General features: G+C 42.2%; 1 protein-coding gene and 1 pseudogene across 29 annotated transcripts in view, besides 1 other annotated feature; both read left to right on the forward strand.

The window, feature by feature from the left end:
* Positions 1-18,634, forward strand: part of ACOXL (acyl-CoA oxidase like) — a 385,976-nt gene that overhangs the window by 225,560 nt on the left and 141,782 nt on the right. For 23 of the 29 annotated variants that reach the window (NM_001437600.1, XM_011511414.4, XM_011511411.4 and 20 more), the window contains one exon: positions 5,492-5,581. The exons of the other annotated variants lie outside the window; for them this stretch is intronic. In NM_001437600.1, the coding sequence (NP_001424529.1) occupies positions 5,492-5,581 (90 nt within the window). The remainder of the gene's footprint in view (positions 1-5,491; positions 5,582-18,634) is intronic. 29 annotated transcript variants of the gene reach the window in all.
* Positions 9,644-10,648, forward strand: RPL5P9 (ribosomal protein L5 pseudogene 9; annotated as a pseudogene).
* Positions 15,878-16,065: a silencer, noted in NCBI's record as "fragment chr2:111731587-111731774 (GRCh37/hg19 assembly coordinates)". NCBI's record gives its function as "represses an EF-1alpha promoter that drives an FKBP-Casp9 reporter gene in an ReSE screen in K562 erythroleukemia cells {active_cell/tissue: K562}" and the evidence as "EXISTENCE:reporter gene assay evidence [ECO:0000049][PMID:32094911]".

Consider the following 18,634-nt stretch of genomic DNA (forward strand, 5'->3'; position numbering starts at 1 on the left):
ACGCACACACACATGCACACACACACTCTCATGCATACTCTCTCTACTTTTCTATAGGCCTCTTCCAACTAAATTTTTAGTTTTAATCTGAGATATAGCAAAGGCCCAGTGATTAGGTCTTGCAATGAAGCGATTCCCAACAGAGACATAAGGGGTGAGAGCCCCACGCACCTTCAGCGAAGTATCATTGGCCACATGTCAGCCATGGGGAGAGCAGGCTGGCCCAGCACGCAGGCCAGTCTGTGTGTGGAATGGTCCCTGACAACTGGAAGAACCGCTATTGGTTCAGGGGCCCTCATGCTGCAATCAGCACCACCATAGCTGGGAAGGACAGGGATGAGGTTTTAGGGAACTGATCCCCCAGGCTTCCATTCAGTTGGCAGCTCCAAATGGACACAGAAGCTTGTGAATCATGTGTGATGTGGCAGCCTTCCTGCTCAGCAGACATCTGTGGTACCCTGGTTAAAGCCAAGACAATTCAGAGGCTGAGAGAAATGAAACCAAATCCCCAGGGCACTGAGGGATCCCATGGGCAGCAGATGGAAGGAAAATGCCCCGTGGCAGGAGTGGGAGTGGAGAGCATGAAATGCAGGTGTGGCAATTTCCCCAGAATACTTTGGACTCCCCTGGACAATGCCACAGAGGACCCTGGGCATCCTGGGACACCAAGGAGCCTGTGCTTCCTCCTAGGCATAGGCAGGTTCTCATCTGTCAGCTGTTGGAGGGCTGCACTGGAGAGGAGAACATTTGGCACCTGGTATGTCTCCCTGTAGAGCAGTCCCCCTGGGAGCTAATGGATCTTTTCCACCTGTGGCAAAAATAGACTTGATTCAGATACCTTGTCCTGAGATTGGCTTACCCAGGCCTGCACGGCCCCTCCAGGCAGATGAGACCCCTCGTGCATTACCTCTGAATGAAACACAGGGTCCAGGCAGATGGAGTTCCAGGGACAGAGCGGGGCAAACCTTGGAATCTTGCTTGGCTGAGTGTGAATGGCCCCTTGGCCTGACTCAAGACTTGAGGGAGATGACAGAGGGTTAATTGAGGATGGCAGGGCCCTCCATGTGGCTCTGCACTCAGCCCTTTCTCTCCTGAGCCTGAGGCCACAGCCCTGCCCTGCACCATGAACCCCAGGCGGGAGGCTGTCGGCTCTTGGCCCAGCTCCCCTGGGGCCTCGGGTGATATTCAGCTTCAGAAGTCCTGCTCTTCTCCCAGCCCTGTGGATCCCACTCAGCATCAGGTGGTTACTGCAGGAAGCCGTCTGCCTTTGTTTTTCTTGGGCACCGGCTCAAAGTCCCTTTAAGTGCGAAGTCTTTATTCCTGGTTTCCTCCTTCTCCACTTCCTCCCCCTGAAAACAGCTGATGGCCCGTTGTCACTAGAGCCCAGGAGGGGCTCCTTCCTTCCCTCCCACCTGGGCTATTTTTCTGTGCCACACCTGTCCTGGTCTTTGTGAGGCATGGCCATCTCCATGCTGGGCTGATTAGAAGTTCACCTCACATCCTTTGAGAGAGCTTGAGTCACCTCTAGTTGCCATTTCTAGCCTACCTCCCCGCCACCCCCTGAGAATGAGGGATGCTGGGACACTCCCCAGGATCAGCATTCAGCACCCCAGGCTATAGAAGCTGAGGCAAGGTTTACATTCACCATTCTGCACCCATTCTTCTTTCAGCGATGACTGCATATATCATTAGCTGTGTTCAGTAAGGGCCAAGCAAGACCAGGATCTCAGAGTCAAAGTTGGGTACCACATACAGGCCAGAGTAGCACAAGGCAGGGGTTGGGGACAGGTGGGAAAATTGCTACCCAAGGCCACAGGTGATCCCAGTCAGATCCAGGGGCTGGAAGGGAGGAGCATAAGGCTGCTTGTCTTAAATAAAGGACAAGGGGCTAGAAAGCAAAGGTGGTGGGTGAGGCAGCTGTTTTAAACAGAGAGGTAGGGACACCTTTCTTGCAGTGGAACTTCTTCAGACCTGAGATGGAAATGAAATGAGGGAGCCCCCATGGAGGTCTGAGGGGAGTGTTCCAGGCAGTGGGAACAGGATTGCAAAACCCCACGGAAGTGGGCAAGCAGCCGGTGTGGCCAGAATGAACCCAAGCAAGGTTCAGGGAAACCTCACTGAACTTCAGTTTTTTCATCCGGAAAACTGGAGTGATGAGATGTGAAAAGTAGAAATGACACATTGTATGTAGTGCATACGAAAGTTGACCCTCAGTAGTGGCCTCCATGACTGTCCCTTCTCTGGGCACACGCCGTGGTGCTGGTCTGTAAAGACGTGTGAAGGTCTCCTCTAACCGTACCTTCCATGTGCAGTCGTGGCCCTCCTCCTCTCACAACATTCCTTGGCTCCTTTTTACCCAGATCAGCTCCGTTGTTGGCTTCCGAGTCTTTCATTTCCTCCCCGACCTATCCCGCCAACTCCTCCCTCCATCCTTGTGATCCTTAGTCCAACTCTGAGCCTCTTTCTTGGGGTCTTTCTCAGGCACCCATTTACCTTCCACCTTGGGAGTTTGTGAATGACTTTTTTCTTTTGGGTTTTTTTTTTTTAATGTATAAATTTTCTGGGTTTTTTTTTTTAACATTGCTTGTGTATTACTTTTAGTAATTAATTAAAAAACCCAAAAAGTTCATTTTTAGTTAAAAAATGATGCAGACACAGATGCATAAACTGTTTATAATCATTTGTCTCCAAAGAATTCAAGGCCTCAAGTGTAGAATTTAAGTTACTCAAGAAGATGGCTGCAAGCCCCATTCAGTGACTGCTCTATGCCATGGGTCTTTCTGTAAGCCGCATAGACGTTTACCCAGGACATGGATGCTGGGACTTTCTAAGCCTGACTAGTTTCTAAGTGGGTCACCTCAGGGTCCCAAGGATTGAGACTCCTGTGAGGCCAGGCCTTTCTGGCTTATTCTAAAGAAATTAGATCATAAATACACCTTGTTACTTTCAGGAGATGGGAAGCAACATGACAACCACGAGCCTGCCTCCCATGTGGTTGGACTTTGATTTTTCTCGTTGCCATTTCATTTTCAGCTCCCTGCAAGCTGTTTGAGGGCTGTGAGCCCTGTTACCTCAGTTCTCAAGGGCCAGGTAGAGTCCAGAATCAACATCCAGTTTCACTTGACTTTCAAACTAGAAGAGGAGCTCACAGCTGAGTTTCACCATGTAGGAGAGAAGGGAATTATATTGCATGTGAAGAGCTGATACAAAACATTTTTGTGCTCCCAGAACTCCATTGCCTGTTCTTTTAGAGACTACTGGTGTCTGTTTGCTGGTTCTGCCCTTTGAGTAGATTCTCTTTCTGGTCATTTTAAAGCCAGATTGCCTGACTTCCAGGGCAGGGTGGAAGTAAGTTTAAAAAGTGTCAGAAAACAACAAAGAGCCTGTTGCCCTCTCCTCCACCGGAAAAGAGGAGAGCAAAATGCTCAGAAAAAAAACACTTTGTTTCTTCAACATTAGTATTTTGAGTGTTTTGCATCTGAACTTCTTAGGTATAACCACTGCTTCTCAACACTGAGGTGCTGTATTAGTCTGTTCTTGCACTGCTTAATAAAGACATACCTGAGACTGGGTAATTATTAAGGAAAGAGGTTTAATGGACTCACAGTTCCACATGGCTGGAGAGGCTCCACAATCATGGCAGAAGATGGAGGAAGAGCAAAGTCACGTCTTACATGGTGGCAGGCAAGAGGGCACGTGCAGGGGAACTACCCTTCATAAAACCATCAGATCTTGTGAGACTTATTCACTACCATGAGAGCAGGGCAGAAAAAACCCACTGCCATGATTCAGTTACCTACCACTGGGTCCCTCCCATGACACGTGGGGATTATTACAATTCAAGATGAGATTTGGGTGGGGACACAGAGCCAAACCATATCAGGTGGTATATTTAGTGTTACTCTTCTTCCACATCAGAACTTGACAGATGATTCAAGAACATTCCAACACAATCCTGAGCCTCACTTGCTTCATCTGTAAAATAGGGATAATGCCTTCTTCACAGGGCTGTTGTGAGGATTAAAGGATTCTGTGAGGTAAAGGAAGTCTGTGTGAAGTCCCAGCACAGTATCTAGCATAGAGGGCACTGTAGAATGAGAAGGGTGGAAATGAGTCCACTGTAGCCTTATGCGGAAATCACTCTGCGGCAGGACCGCACTTTATCGGAACCTGCTTTCATGTGGTTTGCCCACAGGCAGTTTTAATCCTGTGATTATTATGGGGTGGGGGGAAGTGAACTTCTGGTTGGAAATGTTACTGATTTACTTACTCATAAGCACAATCAGTTTAACCTTATGAAGGTAATTAAGGCTTCTGCTGGGGACTCCTTTGCTTCTGTAAACTGCAGGTGGTAACACCGCCCAGTCAGCATTGATGGAGATGAGGGAAAGGTGGCCGGGCCTTCCAGGGTGGTTCTCCCCACAGGAGCAGGACTGATGCTAACAAGTTTTCAGGCATCTGAGGGCAGCAGGCACCTGGAAATCCAGACTTCTAAGACCCCTGTGGCCATTTTCAGAAATGAAGCAGGTCCCCCAGGCATGAAAGGTACCTGGAGATTCAAGAGTATGACTGCCCCTGGGCCTCTGTGGCTTGAAAATATTATCAGAGCAAAACTTGTCATTCCTTATTCAGAGCTAAAGTGCTCACTGCACATACTCCTGGGAGAAGTAACAGGACAGTCAGCTCTGACGTGACTGACACAGGCAGAAGTGATTTGTGGAAGCAGGCTTGGACGGGGGAGCAATTCTGGATATTTCATGGGGAAAACAAAGAGCTGGAAGAAGGAGGTAGTGCAGAGGCCCTCAGAAGGGGAAGGACCTGGGACCCACACAAAGACAGGCTTTGCTTCTTTCATGTTTTACTTGGGGCCAAACTTACTTTCTCCTGTGTAGCTGATTCTCTGGTTTGTGTGCAGAAACACTGCCAATGCTGCCATTTAAATAAGGATTTCAGGAAGTAAAAGGAAAAAAAAATACTGGAGTGAGAATTGATGGCGCAGAGTATTTAATGATATTAAGATGCAGAGTGGCAATTTAAGACATTTATGCTGCCTCCCGAGGAGTTTTGTAGGTATACAGGCTAATTTTCAGAAGGGTTGCTGGGGGTGGGGGAGGCATCATTTGCCTACATATGGTGAGGTATAATCACTAGTACCTTGGCATTTATTAGAATTTTGAAGAACGAGGTAAAAAAAAAATCAGTCCACTTTATTGAAATCTTTTGCAGAAATATGACACAACCATTTTCAAATAGTTTTTACTACCACCAAAATAATATTCGTGAACTAAAAGCTAATGTAAGGAATCAAAATTCTTACAGTGGTTATTTTGGCTAGGAGAAATATGATTGTTTACCTCTTTTCAATTTTCTGTATATTTTTTAATTTTAAAGAAAATGTGAGTCCTATGTAGTGATGGGATCGCAAATTTGAAATGTGTGTGTGTGTGTGTGTGTGTGTGTGTGTGTGTGTGTTTTTCTCTTTCTGCAACAGGGTTACATGATGGAAAATCGAATCTCAGGCTTAAAGTGTGACACAGATGTGTTTGCCACTTTTGAAGGTGACGATGTTGTTATGCTTCAGGTAAGATTCGGGAAATGTTTTCAAGATCAAGAGTTATCCAGAAGTCTGAAGTGTTTCATATATTTTATCTTTATCTGATTGCCTTCTTTAATTGGCAGGTGCTTTCCTGTTAGGCACTTGATATTTGTTGTAGCTGAACAGGGGATTACGTTATTTCTCTCTTAGCTGATCTTTGACTTTGAATTTTATCTTTTTGGTTTAAGAAAACCACTTATACATAGTGAGTCAGATTCTTCTACTAGGAAGGGTATTTTGAAAGAGTATGTAAGGCCCCAGAAGATGAACAAGCAAAAGGCATGAAAACCCAGTTTACAAAAGAACGGCAATGGATCAGCCTCCTAATGATCAAGGAAATGCATATTAGACTATTCGGCAATACTCTTTTCCTTTCTCAATCCAATCGGCTCATGTTTTCAAGTATGTTGAAGTCCCCATGTTGGCACAGGGGGGTCCCTTTGCATGTTGCTGTTGAACTGTGTATAATTCTACTTCTGGGCTGTATTTTAAGATAACAGCCTGAAATACAGGAAACTTTAAGGCACAAACATTTTCACCAGTACATTATTTATTGTAGCAATAATGTTGGAGTCCAAATTTTCAACAATAGGAAAATTATTATACAGTATAAATCATGCTCTGGCCACTCAGTGGGGAATTATATGGCTTTTAAAATAGTGCTTTCAGAGAGTGCTATTTATAACAGAAATTTAAAACTTATGATACGGTAAGTAAAAATGATACAAAAACATACAGTTATGCATTGCTTAACAACAGGAACATATTCTGAGACATTTGTCATTAGGCTGTTTCATCGTTGTGTCAACATCATAGAGTGCACTCACACAAACCAAGATGGCACAGCCTACTCCGCACCTAGGCTATGTGGTGGAGCCTATTGCTCCTACGCTACACACCTGTACAGCATGATACTGTACTGAATACCATAGGCTACTGCAACATAATTTTTGTTTGTTTATTGATACATAGTATTTGTACATATATAAGGGATACATGTGATGTTTTGTTACATGCCTTGAGTGTATAATGATCAAGCCAGAGTTTTTAGGGTGTCCATCACCTCAAGTATTTATCATTTCTATGTGTTGGGAACATTTCAAGTCCTCTCTTTTGTGTATTTTGCAATATGCAATATATTGTTGTTAACTATAGTCACTCTACTCTGCTATCGAACATTATAACTTATTCCTTCTGCCTGACTGTATATTTGTACGGATTAATCAACTTCTGTTCATTCCCCCTACCCGCCCCCACACCTTTCCCAGCCTCTGGTATCTATCATTCTACGCTTTACTGCTATGAGATCAACTTTTTTAGCTCCCATATATGGGTAAGAACATGCCATATTTGTGTTTCTGTGCCTGACTTATTTCACTTAACATAATGACCTCCAGTTCCATTCATGTAGCTGCAAATGAAATGATTTCATTTTTTATGGCCAAATAGTATTCCATTATGTGTATATACCATATTTTCTTTCTCCATTTCTTTGTGTGATGGGTATTTAGGTTGATTCCACATCTTTGCTATTGTGACTAGTGCTGCAATAAACATGTGGGTGCAGGTGTACCCTTGATATATTGATTTATTTTTCCTTTGGATAAATACCCACTAGTGGGATTGCTGGATCGTAGGGTAGTTCTATTTTTAGTTTCTGTTTGTTTGTTTGTTTTTGTTTTTTGGAAACCTCCATACTGTTTTTTATAGTGGCTGTACTAATTTACCTTCCCACCAACAGTGCCTAAAACAATTTTTATGTTTAAGTATTTGCATATGGAAGCACATCAAAGCATAGATAAGGTGATGTGTTGTGCTATGACATCATGATGGCAAAGATATCGCTAGGTGATGGGAAATTTTTCGCTGGGCACTTGACTGTATAAAGAATGTGATCATGATTTGGAGTTCTCAAAAAAGGACAATAGGGACTCCTGGCCTGCTAAGATAGAATAGCCCCATTCCTTACAGATTTTCCTCTTCACAGTTAAACTCCCTGGACAAAATACAACAGACAAGCATGGGAAGAGAAGACCCTGGAAGGGGGAAGGAAGAAGGAGGCTGCCTAGGGACTTTGGGACTTGAACAATGAAACAGCAATAAGGTCTCTGGATTTCCTTATTGTCTCCCATATATCCCAGACAGGATACACATCCCCTGTATCTCTAATAGGCACACACAAAATATGCTCCAGGAGACACCTAATCCCCTAGCCAAGGGACCAGGAAGATGGTGGCCTGATGACAGAAAATCTTTTTGGTGATACCCATGCTACACCAGCCAGACACAACAAAAAAACATAACCATTCTCCCGACCGCCGTTGACAATTTCTGCCTCGCTGGGAGCTGATCTTCCACTGGATCCTTGACCTAAGGAAGCAGGCAAAAGCAGGGGTAGTACTCCCATCCCCCACCCAGTGGCCTTAGTGGGGCTGAGCAGGGAGCTCATCTTTCATTCCTCTCCTGGTGGAAACAGGTGGTGCTCAGATTCCCCACCAGAGTAGTGTCAGCAAGGCCCGGTGGCGAATCCACCCCCACTCAGCAGCAACAAGAACCAATGAAGTGGCTTAAGGTGGAGCCCATCACCAGTGTGCTTCTGCTACCCACCCTGGGGCCAGCAGGGGTCCAGCAGGGAGCTGAGTCTCTACTCCCACCTGATGTCGATTAGACTAACCAGGAGGTGTGAGCAGGGACTAGTCACTACTCTGTGTTCTCCCCACCCTTGGTGTCTGTGGGCCCAGTGAGGAGCTGAAGCTCTATACCCACAAGATGACAAGAAACTGGATCAAGTAGCGTGCAGCAGAGCCAGTGGACACTTTGACCTCTTCCCTCCCTGCCCCCTAAACCCCTAAAGGGGATTTAGTGGGGAGCTGAGCCTCTTGCCTCACCTGACATCAACAGAATGAAATAGGATGAAGTGGGGGAGTTAATATCCTTCTTCCTCCTCCCCTATTTTTAGCAGGAGTCAGTAAGCAGTGGAGCCTTCACCTCATCCAGCATCAATGAGGCACAATGAGGTGGTGGGAAAAGGGGGTAGTTGGCCCTGTGCTTCCCCACTCCCTTCCCTGACGTCAGCAGGGCCTAGAGGGAACAGAACTTGCCCCCAACCTGTCTCCAACAAGGCAATGTGCATCAGCACTCCTTTTCCTCCAGCATGGTGTCGATGGGACCTAGCAGGAAAGTGAACATATACCCATCAGGACCTTTTGCTACCCTTCAAGATTAAATGTCATCTCATAATATCATATCTAAATACACTGGGTACAACAAAACATCACATTATAAAGGAACCAAGAAAATTGCAACTTAAATGAGAAAGTCAATAGATGCGGATACCAAGAAGAATCCAATGTTGGAATTATCTGATAAGGATTTTAAAGTACCCACTATAAAAGTGTTTCAAAGGTGCATAAAAGTACTACAAATGCTCTTAAAACAAATTTTAAAAATAGAAAAAATATAAGCAAATAAAAGGGGACCAAATTCAAATGATAGAATTAAAAATATAATGACTGAATTAACAAACTTGCAGTCTGACCCCAATAATAGAGTAGATATGATAGAGGGTGGAATCAGTGAATTTGAGGCCAGATCAACAGAATTTACCCAATCTGAACAACAGAGAAGACAAAAATGAACAGAATCACACAGATCAGTGGAGCAATAACAAAAGAGCTAGCATTTGTATTATCAGAGTCTCAGAAGGAGAGAAGTGTGTTGCTCAATATACATAAAGGAAATACTTCAGACAATTAAAAAGTGAGGAGGGCAAAGAGACCTAAATGGAGGTAAGGTTTCCACACTTCACTCAAAGTGGTAAAACATTAATATCACTAGACTGTGATGAGATATATTACAAATTTTTACATGTAAATAATAAGACTATATAATGTGATACTGTGAGGTTCTGGGGGAAAACCTGAAAGAAATGAAAGGAGAAATAGACAAATCAACAATTATAGTTGGATATTTCAACACATTTATTTCAATGGTTAACACAACTACTAGACAGCAAATCAGAAAGGATATGAAAGAACTGAAAAACAGGCACTGCTGGGCCTGCAGGTCTCTGTTGAGCCACGGATGTGGGTCTCTGTTTTGCAGGATGGGGTTTGTTAAAGTTGTTAAGAATAAGGCCTACTTTAAGAGATACCAAGTGAAATTTAGAAGACGACAAGAGGGTAAAACTGGTTACTATGCTCGGAAATACTTGGAGATACAGGATAAAAATAAATACAACACACCCAAATATAGGATAGTAGTTCATCTAACCAACAGAGATATCATTAGTCAGATTGCTTATGCCCGTATAGAGGGGGATATGATAGTCTGCGCAGCATACGCACACGAACTGCCAAAATATGGTGTGAAGGTTGGCCTGACAAATTATGCTGCAGAGTATTGTACTGGCCTGCTGCTGGCCCGCAGGCTTCTCAATAGGTTTGGCACAGACAACATCTATGAAGGCCAAGTGTAGGTGACTGGCAATGAATACAATGTGGAAAACATTGATGGTCAGCCAAGTGCCTTTACCTGCTATTTGGATGCAGGCCTTGCCAGAACTACCACTGGCAATAAATTTTTTGGCTCCCTGAAGGGAGCTGTGGCTGGAGGCTCATCTGTCTCTCATAGTACCAGATGATTCCCTGGTTATGATTCTGAAAGCAAGGAATTTAATGCAGAAGTACACCAGAAGCACATCACGGGCCAGAATGTTGCAGATTACCTGTGCTACTTAATGGAAGAAGATGAAGATGCTTACAAGAAACAGTTCTCTCAATACACAAAGAACAGCGTAACTCCAGACATGACGGAGGAGATGTATAAGAAAGCTCATGCTGCTTATACATCAAGTCTATGAAAAGAAGCCCAAGAAAGAAGTTAAAAAGAAGAGGTGGAACTGTCCCAAAATGTCCATTGCCCAGAAGAAAGATCAGATAGCTCAAAAGAAGGCAAGCTTCCTCAGAGCTCAGGAGCGGGCTGCTGAGAGCTACACCAAACAATTTTCTATGACGATTTTTCAGATAAAGACAATAAACTTATGGACAGCAAAAAAAAAAAAAAAGAACTGAAAAACATAACCAGGCAACAGGATTTATTTAACATGTATGGAACACTCTATTCAACAGGAACAGCATACATGTTTTTCAAGCACTTGTGGAATTTTCTTCAAGATGGACTGTATCCTGGGCCATTAAAATAAAACTCAGCAAATTTAAAGGAATTAAAAAGGTACAGAATATGTTTTCTCATCATAATAGAATGAAATGAGAAATCAAGAGCAGAAAGAAAAGAAGAATATCTCTAAATACTTGGAAATTAAGCAACATGCTTAAAATAATCCATAGGTTATATAGGAAATTTTAATGGAACTTTAAAAATACATAGAAATGAGTGAGCATGAACACACAACACATCAAAACGTATGGGAGGCAGATAAAATAGTGCTGAAAGGAAAATTCATAGTACTAAATGCTTATTTAAGAAAAGAGGAAAGGTCTCAACTCATTCACCTAAATCCCTACCTCAAGAAAATTGAAAGAGAAGAGCAAAATAAGTAGAAACCAAACATAAGAAAGGAAATAATAAAGTTAAGATTATACATTAATAAAATTGAAGCCAGGAGAACAATAGAGAAAATCCATGAAACAAAAGGCTGGCTCTGAAAAGAATCAACAAAGTTGATAACACTCAAGCAAGATTGACAAAGTTAAAAATTAAGAAGGCTCAAATCACCAATATCAGGAATGAAACAGAATATGTATCTAGAGATCATGAAGTCATTAAAAAATAATGAGGTTGCCAGTCGTGGTGGCTCACACCTCTAATCCCAGCACTTTGGGAGGCCGAGGTGGGCAGCTTACCTGAGGTCAGGAGTTCAAGACCAGCCTGGGCAACATGGTAAAACCCCATCTCTACTAAAAATACAAAAATTAGCCGGGTGTGATGGTGCACATCTGTAATCCCAGCTTCTCGGGAAGCTGAGGCAGGAGAATCACTTGAGCTTGGGGTGCAGAGGCTGCAGTGAGCCAAGATTGTGCCACTGCATTCCAGCCTGGGCGACAGAGTGAGACTTTGTCTCAAAAAAAAAGAAAAAAAAAAGAATGCTAGAAAATAGCTTTACATTGATAAATTTGACAACTTAGAGGAAATGGACCAGTTCCTCAAAAACTGGAAATTATCTGACTCAACAAAGTTGAAACAGACAAACTGAATAGTTCTATACTCTTAAAGAAACTGAACCCTTAATAATAATATAAAAGCTCCTGAAAAATAAATCTCCTGGCCTTGAAGCCTTGGAGAATTCTATTTACCATTTAAAGAAGAATGTTACTCTCTCCTCTTCTATTTTCAGAAAATTCTATTTCCAGAAAATAGAAGAGGAGAGGTACTCCTTGATTATTTTAGAAGGCTAGTATTACTCTGATACTAAAAGTAGACAAAGATAGAAGAAAAAAAGAATAAAGCTACATACTAGTATCACTCATGAATGTAGATACAGAAATCTTCAACAAAATATTAACAAATTGAATCTGGTAATGCACAAAATGAATTACACATGGCAACCTAGTGGAATTTATCTCTGATATGCAAGTATGCTTCAACATTCAAAAATCAATCAAATGCAATCCACCACATCAACAGACTAAAGGCGAAAAAGTCACATGATCATGTCAGTTTACACAGAAAAAGCATTTGACAAAGTCCAACAACCATTCATGATAAAAACTCAGCAAACTAGGAAAGAAGGGAATTTCCTCAAATTGAAAGAGTCTACAAAAATTATAGCTAACATCATGCTTAATCGTGGAACATTGAATGCTTTTCCCCCAAGATTAGGAAAAAGGCAAGAATGTCCACTGTTATTCAACTAGTGCTAAAAGTTTTAGCAGTGCAATAAGGCAATAAAAAGAAATTAAAACATAGAGATTAGAAGGGAAGAAATAAAAACTGTAGCTTTCTGACAAAGTTGCAAAAGCAATCCAGTGGAGGAAAGATGGCCTTTTAAGCAAATAGTGCTGGAGTAATTGGACATCCACAGGCAATAAACTGAACCTCAACCTAACTCTCACACATTATAAAGAAATCTAACTCAAAATGAATTACTTAAATATAAAATGTAAAATTATAAAGCTTTTAGAAAAAAGTTAGGAGAAAATCCTTGAGACCTAGGGACAGGGAAGAAGTTCTTAGGGTTGACATCAAAAGCACATTTCATAAAAGGAAAAATTGGTAAGCTGCATTTCATGAAAAATAAAATTTTTTATTCTATGAAAGACCCTGTGAAGAGGATGAAAAGATAAGCTACAGACAGGGAGAATATATTTTCAAATGACACCTTCAACAAAGGACTTGAGTCTAGAATATATAAAGACCTCTCAAAACTCAACAGTGACAAACAAACAATCCAATTAGAAAGTGGTCAAAAAAACATCAACAGACATTTCACTGAAGAGGATATACCCATGGCAAATAAGCACATGAAAATAGGTACATCATTGTAGCCATTATGGAAATGCAAATCAAAACTCCTAGAAGATATTACTACATTTCTATTAGAATGGCTAAAATGAATATTAATAACACGAAAATTGAATAAGCTTTGTGGCTTGCACCAACACTATTTTCCTGGTTGGGATGCCAGTAAATGTTTTGTAAAGTGTTACCGCTGGGAGAAAATGGATAAAGCCTGCATAGGATCTCTCTGAATTATTTCTTGTGCTTCATTGCTACAGTTACATTCATGCAAATGCTACATTTAAAGAATTTTGTAAAAAGGTATAAAACAAAAACCTATGCATGAATAAGTTTAGAAAGAAATAGAGCAAAATATTGATATCTCAATGTTGTAAACGGTCTTGATGATTAAAAAAGAACATTCTTTCCATTGTTATATATCTTAAAAAGTGTATTAGAATGAGGACAGTGGCATGTAGTGGCAGCTCCCCATTCCCTCTTAGCTTTTAGCAATATCTATAGGAGAGTAGATTATTTGGGGGAGAATTGAGACTTATAATTTAACTTGGGCTAGATTAAAAGTTGTCTGTTTTTTGTCTCCCTCCTGCTTAAATGTCGTATCAAAAAATCTTCTTAAGAATATTCAGTAATTCAGACATTACATTAATTCACATTCTCCATCTCAGCTTGTGATCCAAGTGAGGTTTTTTGACAACTTTCTCTCTGGGAGTATATTTTAAACATAAGCATGTGATTCAACAGCACTTGACCCTGAAGTTGTGATTTAGTGCTTTAATTGGAAGCTCTAGCTTGTAAGCATTATGGAAAGGCTGTTTAGTGTGTTATGGGAATGATCACAATTTCTAAATGTGAACTCAAGTGGAAGTGTGGGGAAAAACAGGGACTCCTTGTTGTTTATCACATACGTGGGAGCATGGAAAATGAAATGAGGAACTCTGAACCATGAACAGCAGGAACGTGCAGGGATGCTGGGCTGCAGGGAGGCTGAGCACCTGGTTGGGAGAATGAACATCAGCACAGAAAGCAGGGCACCCTGTGCACTAAGAACACACACAAGTGCTCCAAGGCCTAGGCTGGGGAAGGAACCAGGGCATGGTCCAGTTTTACAGTCTGCTAAGAAAGAGATCACCACAGACCTTAAGTCCAGACTGTAAGCCTTGTTTTGACCAATTTGCTAGACAGATATCTTCCAGACACATACTGGAAAAATGCTACCTCAAGTGATGATCCAGCCGGAAACACTTCTTGTATAAGTGGGGTGTGTCAACGGTCCCCAGGGTCACCCCCAGGATTGATGATTCACTAGGAGAACTCACAGGACTTGACATATACTTATACTCATGGCTATGATTTATTACAGCAAAATCATATGTAAAAAATACATATATACACACACATGCATCTCTGTCTCTCTCACACGCACATGCACACACACACACGTGCACACACACACACACACACACACACACAAAATTCAAGGTCAGCAAAGGAAAAAGACACATGGGCTGAAGTCCAGAGGAAACCAGAAGCAAGTTTCCAAGAGTCCTCTCTCAATGGAGTCATGCAGGACATGCTTAATTCCTCCAACAACAAATTGTGAGAATACCTGTGAAATGTTTACCAGGGAAGCTCAGCAGAGACTCCGTGTCCATGGTTTTTATTGGGGGCTGGTCATGTAGACACCCTCTGCCTAGCACATATCAATGCAGACTTTCAGAAGAAAGCACACGTTCAGCATAAACCACATTATGTGCTCAATTGGTTTAGGCACAGTGAGCCACCCTTATCAGTCAAGGAATGGTGGGAATCTTCCCAAACCCAAGTTCCCAGATGAAATCTCAGGCTAGCAGTCTCAGGCCTTTCATGTTAACTTTATTTTGCACATGGTGCCATAAGATAAAGCATATGCCCATCCTGATTGGCATTAGTGCTCTTCCCTCTTCAAGGTCAAATCACTAGAATAAATAAAAAGCAGGAATAAGTAAATGACAATGTCAATGACACTGACAGTGGGAGAGAAGCCATCAGATGACTGAGTATTTTTATTACTTTCTGGAGAATGCAAAGCATGGAATGAAATTGACAGGCCAACCTGCTACAGCCTGAATGTTTATGTCTTTCCATGATTAATGTGTCAAAACCTACCAAGATGATGGTATAGGAGGTGGGGCCTTTGAGAGGTGATTAGGTCACGATCACGCTGCCCTCATGGGTGGGGTTAGTGCCTTATCAAAGAGTGCTTCCTTGCCTCTTACACCATATGCAGACTCAGCAAGAAAGTGCCATCTGTGAACAAGGAAGTGAGCCCTCAGCAGACACTGAATCTACCACTACTTTGATCTTGGACTTCCCAGACTCCAGAACTGTGAGAAATCAATTTCTGTTGTTTATAAGCCACTCAGTTTATGGTATTTTGTTATAGCAGCCTGAGCTAAGACACAAGTTGAGTGGACACAGCTGGAGGTGGGGTTGTTTCTTCTGGATGACCGTGGAGAGACACTGGGTCACAAGGATTGAGAGCAGGAGAGGGATTCAGGCAGAGAGTCATGCATTTCCATAAAGGCCTGTTTAATAGCAGGACACCCAGTTCCCCACATCAGAGCGACTACAGTAATAGCATCTGCCACAGCTCCAGAAACCTTCTCTGGGAAGAAAACTTAACAGCCTGGCCAGGCAGTGCTTGGTCCCTTGGGGTGAGAGACCGAGACCCCTGAATACATAGCTTAGTGCTGGGGAGGGTCAGCCTGCTTGTTTGCCATCAGTCAGCACCCCCTCATAGGAAGCCTGCCAGGTGACTGCCCTGCGTTGGACCCGGAGTTTTCTGCTGCTGGGCATCCAGGGGTGATGCCTCCACAGTGATGGGAGGTTGTGCTGGCTGCCTGTACTGGTCCACTCAGCCTTCCACTTGTGTGTTGGAATCTCCCCATTTTGGGGAGGCCACCCTTCTGTGGGCTGGATCCTGCTTTGATTCTCCTTATTGAAGTAGAGATGGAAATTTCAGGAGACACAGGGGAGAAACTGGCCAGTGAGTTTCACAATATTCTGATATTACCTACAGTGCTTTCAGCTTTCTACCAGAAGGTAAAACTTTCAAGATCCTGAAGGTGCTAGGTTGCTGTCCCATGATTGAGGGGATGTGCTGTGGCATTTCTGCAGGCTTTACATGTTTCCCTTTAAGCAAGATGGAAAGTTTTCTGACCCTTTTATTATTTGCCAGGGCAGAGGTTGTAGCCCCTTGGTGAAATTTAATTATACCCTCCACCAAATCCAATTACTACCCACACCCATGAAACCCCATTATAACTTTCTTTTGCTTCATTAGAGATACACTAAGACAGGTCCCTTCCTAATCCATTATGGCAGATTCCCTAAAGAATGTTAGTTAGAGATTTTGCATATATTGTTCATTACTTCGCAGTGCAGATATGCAAAAATGCAGATGACCTGCCATTAACTTGCTTAAAGACCAGGAAGGGGTGTCCTCTTCCTGACTGATCTGGCTGGCTTCTGTTGCAGAGACCTCTGTCTTGGAACTGCCCATGGCAAGATATGTGCCTGCTGACGGGAAGCCTGGTAGTAATACCATCAAGCCTTATGTCCAGAAGAGCACAAAATGTTTCTCCAATCAGAAGGGAGCATTGGGTTGTTTTGGGGCTGGACTGTGGCAGGTGGCCAAGAGAACGAAACCCCTTTTGTACTTTTTCCTTGCTTAAAACACTAGACTCAGCCGAGATGTGGTTTGGGGTAGGACAGACCTTTCCTGCAGGGGTTGGGGAACCTAGCTGTTCTTCCCCTGCAGGAATGCCTGAGCCATGCTGTGGGGCAGGCCGGCTGATGTGTGCTGCGTACCAGCGGTGGGGCATCAGCCCAGTGTAGTTTCTATCAAATTTGAACTGAGGAAGAAAATAAAAGAGACCAAGCACATATCTGTTTTACTATAAGAAAGCTGATTCCTTAGGGATTTCAGACTCCCGAGGGTATTTTCCTAAGGATAATCAGAGAATGAACAATCAAGCATCATCAAATATTTTTGTTTCATTTTTATTTTCAACTTTTACAGTCAAAAATTTCAAACAAATTTCAAGACAGAAGTTGAAAGACTAGTACAATAAATGTCTGGGCACACCGTCCACCTAGTTTCATTATATGTTAACACTTTGCCATATTAAAATTTCTCTTTTTTACCGTCTATGCATATGTTTGTGTGAGTGTGTGTGTGTGTGTGTGTGCATGAAATCATTTGAGAGTAAGTTGCAGACGTCAAAACACTTCACCCCTAAGAGCTTCAATGTTCATTTTCTAAAAATAAGAATCTTTTCTTATAAAATCATAATAACCATCATCACACCTAAAAAAATGAGCAATGACTTCATAGTATTATCTAAAAAAAATTAAAGAAAAATCAACAGCGTGAAAAAGAAGGAGCAAGATGCACAAACACAACAACAGGCACTGGAGGAAGCAAAATAGAGAAACAAAAACTAATTAGTAACCCTAGGGATGTGTGGCCACATTGTATCCATAAAGCAAGAACAGCCTGCTATGAAACACAAGCATTCAGAGACCCATGAAGTGCTTGGAAAATTAAAAATAAAGATTGCAAAAAAAAAAAAATCCAATGTAAGGGCTGAAGAACAAATTTGAGAAAACTTCCAAGAATGAAGATCAGAAAGACAAAAAAGGGGGAGTAGGATTAAAGGGAAATTTCCATTCCATCCATTTTTGATGGATAATCAGTCTAAAATCTACAACATTTCCAAGAAAGGGATTGGAGAATACAGAGAGGCAGTCAAATGAGAGAAATAGAAGAAAATTCTTGAGATATGAAGAAAGGCAAAAAAAGTCTGGAGATTGGCGGGACCCATTGGAAGAGATTAGAACCTGAAAACAACCTGGAGAATTTCAGAACATCAAGCAAGGACAAAGAAAGGCCTCAAAACCCTCAAGCTGAAAAAACGTGGGATTATTTACCAAGGCCTGAGAGTCTGATTGACCACAGACCTCTCAAGCAGCACTGAAGGATGCAACGGCTTCTCAACTGTAATGTACCCATACATCCTTGGATATCTTGTTCAACTTCAGACTCTGGGGTGGGGGAATTCTGTATTTCCAGCAATCTCTTAGGTGATATTATGGCTCCTGGCCTATGGATCACACTGAGTGGCAAGGGCCTACAGGTCTAGGATAAAATGGAATAATACCTTTAAAGTTCTGAAGAAGGTTGCTTTGAATGTAAAATTTCACAGCTAGCCAAATTATTGATCAAGTATGAGGCAATATAAAGACAGATATTCAAATGCACTATAAGTTCACTTGATATGCATTTTCTGAAAAATGTTACTTGTGGATGAACTGCAGGAAAGCATTCAAGAAATGAAGAATTTAAAAGACATGGATGCTTTTGGGAGCTAACCCAAGTGGAGTATGTGTGAAGAAATACCTGGATGGTAGTGACGTGACAAGCCCAGAAAACAATTAGTCCAAATTTGAACAGGAAGTCAGAGGGGTCAAAATAATGACTTTAAGAAGGAAACAATTTCTGTTCAACAGAAAGAAGCA

The sequence above is a fragment of the Homo sapiens genome, chromosome 2 (assembly GCF_000001405.40).
Source record: "Homo sapiens chromosome 2, GRCh38.p14 Primary Assembly".
Taxonomy (NCBI): domain Eukaryota; kingdom Metazoa; phylum Chordata; class Mammalia; order Primates; family Hominidae; genus Homo; species Homo sapiens.